This window comes from Homo sapiens, chromosome 4, assembly GCF_000001405.40.
Source record: "Homo sapiens chromosome 4, GRCh38.p14 Primary Assembly".
In the NCBI taxonomy this organism is placed as follows: domain Eukaryota; kingdom Metazoa; phylum Chordata; class Mammalia; order Primates; family Hominidae; genus Homo; species Homo sapiens.
Genome location: NC_000004.12, coordinates 109,342,816 through 109,352,179, shown reverse-complemented (window position 1 = coordinate 109,352,179; position 9,364 = coordinate 109,342,816). Strand labels below are relative to the sequence as shown.

At 40.1% G+C, this 9,364-nt stretch overlaps 1 pseudogene; it reads left to right on the top strand.

Moving 5' to 3' along the window:
• RBMXP4 (RBMX pseudogene 4) lies at positions 4,570 to 6,047 on the top strand (annotated as a pseudogene).

Sequence of the window (9,364 nt, the reverse complement as noted above, 5' to 3'; positions counted from 1 at the left end):
AAAATGACAAAGGGAAAATAATTTTAAATAACCCCAAACTTAGCTCTCAAAATCATGGCTTAATGCTAAGGAATATATTCTTGCACTCCAAGTGGTAAAATTGATCCCTTGTGCAAGGTTTATAATTTACATTCAGATTGGAATATTGAGTTTTATAGAGAATTCAGCTCATTATTCCCAGCCTTCACTCTGTGTGTGTGTGTGTGTTTGTGTATGTGTGTGTGTGTGAGAGAGAGAGAGACAGAGAGAGAGAGAGACAGTGACAGAGACAGAGAGGCTGATTTCCATAGAAACTAAACTCCAGTCTTTGGTTATTTACAAAAGGGAGCATAATCAAGCCAGATTTTAAAAAATACATAATAGTGCACAAAGTAATAGATAGAAATCTCTTAACTGAGGGAGAAATCTGTTGCTGGGAGAATAATTGAGATTTCTTTGCTGTAGTTAATATAGTTTCAAGTAAAGAATAACGTTCTTTATCCAAAAGAGATAGAAAACTAAGGATATCTTTCTTTATAGAGAAAAGCTGGGGGTTACAAATAAATAAATTTAAATAATATTTATTACTTATTTCTTCTTCTTCTTTTTTTTTTTTTTTTTGAGACGGAGCCTCACTCTCTCTCCCAGTCTGGAGTGCAGTGACGCAGTCTTGGCTCACTGCAAGCTCCGCCTCCCAGGTTCACGCCATTCTCCTGCCTCAGCCTCCCGAGTAGCTGGGACTACAGGCGCCCGTCACCACGCCTGGCTAATTTTTTGTATTTTTAGTAGAGACGGGGTTTCACCGTGTTAGCCAGGTTGGTCTCAATCTCCTGACCTCGTGATCCACCCACCTCGGCCTCCCAAAGTGCTGGGATTACAGTTGTGAGCCACCCCACCCAGCCTATTACTTATTTCTTATAAGCCATAAGAACGTTGAAACAGGAACGTTATAATCCTCCACTTTATTCTTCATAATTCTACATGTATTAAATAGGTGCTTAAACACTTATGTAAAGAAGAATGCGTGAACATGGGGGTGGATTTGAAGAAAATGCAATGTCTTACCTGAAGTGCTTTCTTTGAAGTGTCTTATCTATCCTCTGCATTTGGAAAAAGTTGAATTTAGCACTGAGAAATGCTTTAGCGGGAAATTGAATGCCCAAGAATTTATATGATCTCTTTTCTAGTAAAAGGAACTACATTTAGGAAGAAGAACGTGAGTGAATTCTTTTTTGGGTAAATTTAATAAGAAGCAGATCTTAGAGGGACTCAATATCATACACTTGCATTACACTTTAATCTTCACCCTATGATGTTTCCAATATTATGGCACTGAAGTCATACTTCTTGCTGTGAAGAAGTAAGTCTCTAATATTGCTATCTTATTCCCATTCACTTTGTTTTTAGTCATTTTAAAGGGTTCTTTATATTTTAGGATCTAATATAGCATGATCTTTTTTGAAATAAAAGGTGTATAAAATTTGTACTTTTCATCTACTAGCACCAGGGGCGTGTGTGTATGCGTGTGTGTGTGTTTGTGTGTGTGTGTGTCTGTGACTACATATCTATGATTGTTACTATCAGATAGCTCCAAGTTAAGAAAAGTTAACTATGAGAAGTCTAAGAAGACTATACAATGTGTAGTGCCATTTCTTTACTGACGATAGTGCATATCAGGTAGTACCAGAGGGGTGAATTTAAGTTTAATGTAAATACTTATTAGCACAGGGAATGTAGGGATGGAAGGTGGGGATGGGAAGCCAAAAAGTCTCTCAATACAGTGGGAGGCAGGTGAGCTGTATAGCATAAATGAGGAAATTTATTTTGAGGAATTGTACTTATTTGCCCTTACCTTTAATGGCAGAAACCGCAATTACTTTTGCACCAAACTAATAAAAGGGCTCTGCAATACCAAGTGTGGTAGGTACATTGTTGCAACCACTTTGAAAAACTGGGTGGCAGTATCTATTAAAGTTGAACATTTGCAAATCATATGAACCAGCCATCTCACTTCTAGGTACATAAGCAACAGAAATGTTTAGATATTTGCCAAAAGACTCAGGCAAGTGTGTTATAACAACATTTCTAATAACCAAAAAACTAGACTCAACCCAAATATTCATTAATAATAAGATGGGTAAATAAATTGTGTTATATCAAGTAAAGAAATACATATAGTAACAGAAATAAATGAACTATAGCCATCTGCAAAAATATGAATGAATCTCACAAACATAGTATTGAGCAAAGAAGTCAGATAAAGACAAGTCAGTATTGTTTAATTTTATTTATGGAAGGTCAATAAGAAGCAGATCAAATTAAACTAGTAGGTCTGCAATAGGAAAAAGGAGATGGACTGCAACTGTTTCTTAATCTGGGTACAGGTTACACAGGAGTGTTCATTTTGTAAAAAGCTATAAAGCTGTACACTTACATTTTGTGCAGTTTTCTGTTTTTGTGTGTGTTAACCTTCAATAAAAAATTTACCCTCCTTCTCAAATAAGTATAGATTTTATAGATTCTTGAAAGCTACCTATAAGGGCAGAACTTTAGGAAGACAAGGTGATGCAGAGCTTTAAATAGGAAGAAAAACTTGGGGAAGTGTGAAGCCGATGCCTCCAATCTGAAATCACTTAGGGGGATAGAATTTGTATTTGGGTAAAACCTTAGGTCATGATAAATCACAATATAGACTGATATTCAAAAGATCTGAGGGGACTTAAGCTTGAGTCAGAATAAACACAAATAAGCATCTGGTAATTTGTCTGATAATGGATATCAAATAAGACCAAAGGCAGGGACAGGCTGGAATGCCAGAGTTTAAAAACTAAACTTTTGAGGTAGGAGCAGTTTGTCACACAGTAGCTTGGAATGGTCTGCCAAACTCTGCTTGGGTTTAAATGACTCTTGTCCAGGAGTGAGAGTGTGGCAACTTTATATGGGTTATAATTATATAAAAGGCTAGAGAAAAAACTACATGATGTAACATTTTATTTATAAGTCATTTACTCATATATAGTCATGTCCTGTATGTGAAAATCTCATTTTTCAAACTATGCTGTGACTTCTACATGTAAAACATGGTGTAACAAATACACCAGCTTTTATTTACTCATTTAATTCTTAGTCTCCCATCAATGTAGGCTTATAATTAAGACTGACAAAGACCCAAAATAAAATTCTTACTGATTTATGGATTCTTCATGCCTTAGTCCATTCAGGCTGCTATGACAAAAATACTATAGGCTGGGTGGCTTAAACAGCATTTATTTCTCACAGTTCTGAAGGCTGGGGAGTTCTAGATCAAGATGCTGGCAGATTCGGTGTCTGGTAAGGGCCTGCTTGCTAGTTCATAGACTGCTGTCTTCTCCCTTTGTGCTCACATGGTGGAAGGGGCAAGGGAGCTCTCTGAGGTCTCTCTTATAAGGGCACTAATCCTATTCATGAGGGCTGCATCCTCATGGTCCAATCACCTCCCAAAGGCCCCAGTGTCTATTATCATTGCACTGGGGGCTAGGATTTCAACATACGTATTTTGAAAAGCTATAAATATTCAATCCATAACACTATATAAAGAGAAGCAATAATAAAAGCTGACAATTATGGAGTAGTTGCTATATACCAGGCACTGTTCTCAATACTTTACATATATTATTTAATCATCACAGCTACTATGAAACTTAGAGGAAAAGGCACACAGTAGTAAAGGACAGAGCCAGGGTTCAAGGCCAGGTTAGTCTGACTTCAATCTTTCTGCTGTGTTATTCTGTCAACTATATTTAGCTGTCAGGCATAAAAATGCTTTGAAATCTCAATGAACGTGCCTGCAGGTTTCCCTTAGTTCAGCCCTCAGCAAAAAGAGGTCACCCTTACACCCTACTAGGCCTCTTTTCAATTATGAGAGCTGGAGCATATCCACAGAGAGTAGGCAGCGGCAGATGGGTAGGGCAGTGGGAGATTTTTCACTCCAGGAAAGACTAGGTGACCAGCTGGCAAAGACAATATAGTATACAGCTCTCACACACTTGAATAGTGCCCCTTACGTTAAGATTCTTTCTCTGTGCTGCCAGGTTTCAGCTCTTCCCACTCCTAAAAGGTGAGCTCGTTTCCCCTTTTGTCATTCTTGGTGCAAGCTCCAGTAGCTTAATTTATTTCCCCAGTAGTCCATAAAAATAGAGCCCAAAGTTTTCCTTTTTTTGGGAGAACAAAGAGGGGTGAGTCTTTTTTTTTTTTTTTTTTTTTTTGAGACAGAGTCTCGCTCTGTCACCCAGGCTGGAGTGCAATGGCGTGGTCTCGGCTCACTGCAAGCTCCACCTCCAGGGTTCAAAGGATTCTCCTGTCTCAGCCTCTCCAGTAGCTGGGACTGCAGGCGCCCGCCACCACTCTGGGCTAATTTTTGTATTTTTAGTAGAGATGGGGTTTCTCCATATTGGCCATGCTGGTCTCGAACTCCTGACCTCGTGATCTGCCCGCCTTGGCCTCCCAAAGTGTTGGGATTACAGGTGTGAGCCACCGCGCCTGGCCGAGGGGTGAGTTTTTAAACGTAATTTCTTCTTCTCTACTTTTCAGGAAAGAGTTTAACAATTCACGGTTGCACAGTAGCGCTAGCGGCTTTGCGGTTTGGTCCTCAGACCCGGCAGCCGCCACTGGTGATGAGCTGCTAGGAAGCCCCTGTCGGCAAGCTCGTTGGAGCTTGAATCCACTGTCACCCCTCTGACTCACTGGCAAAAAAAAAAAAAAAGTTGAAGCAGATTGTCCAGCAAAGTTCTTCATTGGTGGGCTTAATACGGAAACAAATAAGAAAGCTCTTGAAGCAGTATTTGGCTAATATGGACGAATAGTGGAAGCACTCTTGATGAAAGAGCATGAAACCAACAAATCAAGAGGATTTGCTTTTGTCACCTTTGAAAGCCCAGCAGATGCTAAGGATGCAGCCAGAGACATGAATGGAAAGTCATTAGATGGAAAAGCCATCAAGGTGGAACAAGCCACCAAACCATCATTTGAAAGTGGTAGACGTGGACTGCCTCCACCTCCAAGAAGTAGAGGCCCTCCAAAAGGTCTTAGAGGTGGAAGAGGAAGAAGTGGAGGAACCAGGAGACCTCCCTCATGGAGAAGACACATGGATGACAGTGGATACTCCATGAATTTTAACATGAGTTCTTCCAGGGGACCACTCCCAGTAAAAAGAAGACCACCACCAAGAAGTGGGGGTCCTCCTCCTAAGAGTTCTGCACCTTCAGGACCAGTTCGCAGCAGCAGTGGAATGGGAGGAAGAGCTCCTGTGTCACGTGGAAGAGATAGTTAGTGCGGTCCACCTGGAAGGGAACCGCTGCCCTCTCGTAGAGGGTTCTTCTTGAAGACAGTTCTTCAAGCAGAGATTAGCCAAGTTCTCGTGATACAAGAGGTTATGCACCACCACCACCGCGAGATTGTACTTACCGTGATTATGGTCATTTCAGTTCACGTGATGACTATCCATCAAGAGGCTATAGCGATAGAGATGGATATAATAGTGATCATGACTATTCAGATCATCCAGCTGGAGATTCCTACAGAGATTCATATGAAAGTTATCGTAACTCACGTAGTGCTCCACCTACAGGAGGGCCCCCGCCCCCCCATCTTATGGTGGAAGCGATGATTATAGCAGTTCACGTGACGGATATGGTGGAAGTCGAGACAGTTACTCAAGCAGCCGAAGTGATCTCTAATCAAGTGGTCGTGGTCGGGTTGGCAGACAAGAAAGACGGCTTCCCCCTTCTATGGAAATCCTCCACGTGATTCCCACGGCAATTCAGGCGGTGGAGCACCAAGAGGTGGTGGCAGTGGAGGAAGCCGATCTGATAGAGGGGGAGGCAGAAGCAGATACTAGAAACAAACAAAACTTTAGACCAAAATCCCAGTTCAAAGAAACAAACAAAAAGTGCAAACTATTCTGTCATAACTACCCAAGGACTACTTAAAGGAAAAATTGTGTTACCTTTTAAAAATTCCCTGTTAAGTTCCCCTCCGTAATTTTTATGTTCTTGTGAGGAAAAAAGTAAAACATGTTTAATTTTTTTGACCTCTTATTTTTATTTTTTTAAATTATACTTTAAGTTCTAGGGTACATGTGCACAACGTGCAGGTTTGTTATATAGGTATGCATGTGTCATGTTGGTTTGCTGCACCCATTAACTCGTCATTTACATTAGGTATTTCTCCTAATGCTATCCCTCCCCCTGCCCTCCACCCCCGAAAGGCCCCGGGGTGTGATGTTCCCTGCTCTGTGTCTAAGTGTTCTCATTGTTCAATTCCCAATTATGAGTGAGAACGTGCAGTGTTTGGTTTTCTGCCCTTGTGATAGTTTGCTCAGAATGATGGTTTCCAGCTACGTCCATGTCCCTGCAAAGGACATGAACTCATCCTTTTTAATGGCTGCATAGTATTCCATGGTGTATATGTGCCACATTTTTTAAATTAATTAATTAATTTATTTATTTTTTAATTATTATACTTTAAGTTTTAGGGTACATGTGCACATTGTGCAGGTTACTTACATACGTATACATGTGCCATGCAGGTGTGCTGCACCCACTAACTTGTCATCTAGCATTAGGTATATCTCCCAGTGCTATCCCTCCCCCCTCCCCCCACCCCAAAACAGTCCCCAGAGTGTGATGTTCCCCTTCCTGTGTCCATGTGATCTCATTGTTCAATTCCCACCTATGAGTGAGAATATGCGGTGTTTGGTTTTTTGTTCTTGCGATAGTTTACTGAGAATGATGGTTTCCGATTTCATCCATGTCCCTACAAAGGACATGAACTCATCATTTTTTATGGCTGCATAGTATTCCATGGTGTATATGTGCCACATTTTCTTAATCCAGTCTATCATTGATGGACATTTGGGTTGGTTCCAAGTCTTTGCTATTGTGCATAGTGCCACAATAAACATAAGTGTGCATGTGTCTTTATAGTAGCATGATTTATAATCCTTTGGGTATATACCCAATAATGGGGTCGCTGGGTCAAATGATATTTCTAGTTCTAGATCCTTGAGGAATTGCCACACTGTCTTCCACAATGGTTGAACTAGTTTACACTCCCAACAACACTGTAAAAGCGTTCCTATTTCTCCACATCCTCTCCAGCACCTGTTGTTTCCTGACTTTTTAATGATTGCCATTCTAACTGGTGTGAGATGGTATCTCATTGTGGTTTTGATTTGCATTTCTCTGATGACCAGTGATGATGAGCATTTTTTCATGTGTCTGTTGGATGCATGAATGTCTTCTTTTGAGAAGTGTCTGTTCATATCCTTTGCCCACTTTTTGATGGGGTTGTTTGTTTTTTTCCTGTGAATTTGTTTAAGTTCATTGTATATTCTGGATATTAGCCCTTTGTCAGATGGGTAGATTGCAAAAATTTTCTCCCATTCTGTAGGCTGCCTGTTCACTCTGACGGTAGTTTCTTTTGCTGTGCAGAAGCTCTTCAGTTTAATTAGATCCCCTTTGTCAATTTTGGCTTTTGTTGCCATTGCTTTTGGTGTTTTAGACATGAAGTCCTTGCCCATGCCTATGGCCTGAATGGTATTGCCTAGGTTTTCTTCTAGGGTTTTTATGGTTTTGGGTCTAGCATTTAAGTCTTTAATCCATCTTGAATTAATTTTTGTATAAGGTGTAAGGAAGGGATCCAGTTTCAGCTTTCAACATACGGCTAGCCAGTTTTCCCAGCACCATTTATTAAACAGGGAATCCTTTCCCCATTGCTTCTTTTTGTCAGGTTTGTCAAAGATCAGGTGGTTGTAGATGTGTGGTGTTATTTCTGAGGCCTCTGTTCTGTTTCATTGGTCTATATATCTGTTTTGGTACCAGTACCATGCTGTTTTGGTTACTGTAGCCTTGTAGTATAGTTTGAAGTCAGGTAGCGTGATGCCTCCAGCTTTGTTCTTTTGGCTTAGGATTGTCTTGGCTATGTGAGCTCTTTTTTGGTCCCACATGAACTTTAAAGTAGTTTTTTCCAATTCTGTGAAGAAAGTCATTGGTAGCTTGATGGGGATGGCATTGAATCTATAAATTACCTTGGGCAGTATGGCCATTTTCACAATATTGATTCTTCCTATCCATGAGCATGGAATGTTCTTCCATTTGTTTGTGTCCTCTTTTATTTCGTTGAGCAGTGGTTTGCAGTTCTTCTTGAGGAGGTCCTTCACATCTCTGGTAAGTTGGATTCCTAGGTATTTTATTCTCTTTGTAGCAATTGCAATTGTGAATGGGAGTTCACTCATGATTTGGTTCTCTGTTTGTTATTGGTGTATAAGAATGCTTGTGGTTTTTGCACCTTGATTTTGTATCCTGAGACTTTGCTGAAGTTGCAAATCAGTTTAAGGAGATTTTGGGCTGAGACGATGGGGTTTTCTAAATATACAATCATGTCATCTGCAAACAGGGACAATTTGACTTCCTCTTTTCCTAATTGAATACGCTTTATTTCTTTCTCTTGCCTGATTGCCCTGGCCAGAATTTCCAACACTCTGTTGAATAGGAGTGGTGAGAGAGGGCATCCCTGTCTTATGCCAGTTTTCAAAGGGAATGCTTCCAGTTTTTGCCCATTCAGTATGATATTGGCTGTGGGTTTGTCATAAATAGCTTTTATTAATTTGAGATACGTTCCATCAGTACCTCGTTTATTGAGAGTTTTTAGTATGAAGTGCTGTTGAATTATGTCGAAGGCCTTTTCTGCATCTATTGAGATAATCATGTGGTTTTTGTCATTCATTCTGTTTATGTGATGGATTACATTTATTGATTTGTGTATGTTGAACCAGTCTTCCATCCCAGGGATGAAGCTGACTTGATCATGGTGGATAAGCTTTTTGGTGTGCTGCTGGATTCGGTTTGCCAGTATTTTATTGAGGATTTTCACATCGATGTTCATCAAGGATATTGGTCTAAAATTCTCTTTTTTTGTTGTGTCTCTGCCAGGCTTTGGTATCAGGATGATGCTGGCCTCATAAAATGAGTTAGGGAGGATTTCCTCTTTTTCTATTGATTGGAATATTTTCAGAAGGAATGGTACCAGCTCGTCTTTATACCTCTGGTAGCATTCGGCTGTGAATCCTTCTGTTCCTGGACTTTTTTTGGTTGGTAGGCTGTTAATTATTGCCTCAATTTCAAAACCTGTTATTGGTCTATTCAGAGATTCAGCTTCTTCCTGGTTTAGTCTTGGGAGGGTGTATGTGTCGAGGAATTTATCCATTTCTTCTAGATTTTCTAGTTTATTTGCGTAGAGGTGTTTATAGTATTCTTTGATGGTAGATTGTATTTGTGGGATTGGTGATGATATCCCCTTTATCATTTTTTATTGCATCTATTTGATTCTTATCTCTTTTCTGCTTTGT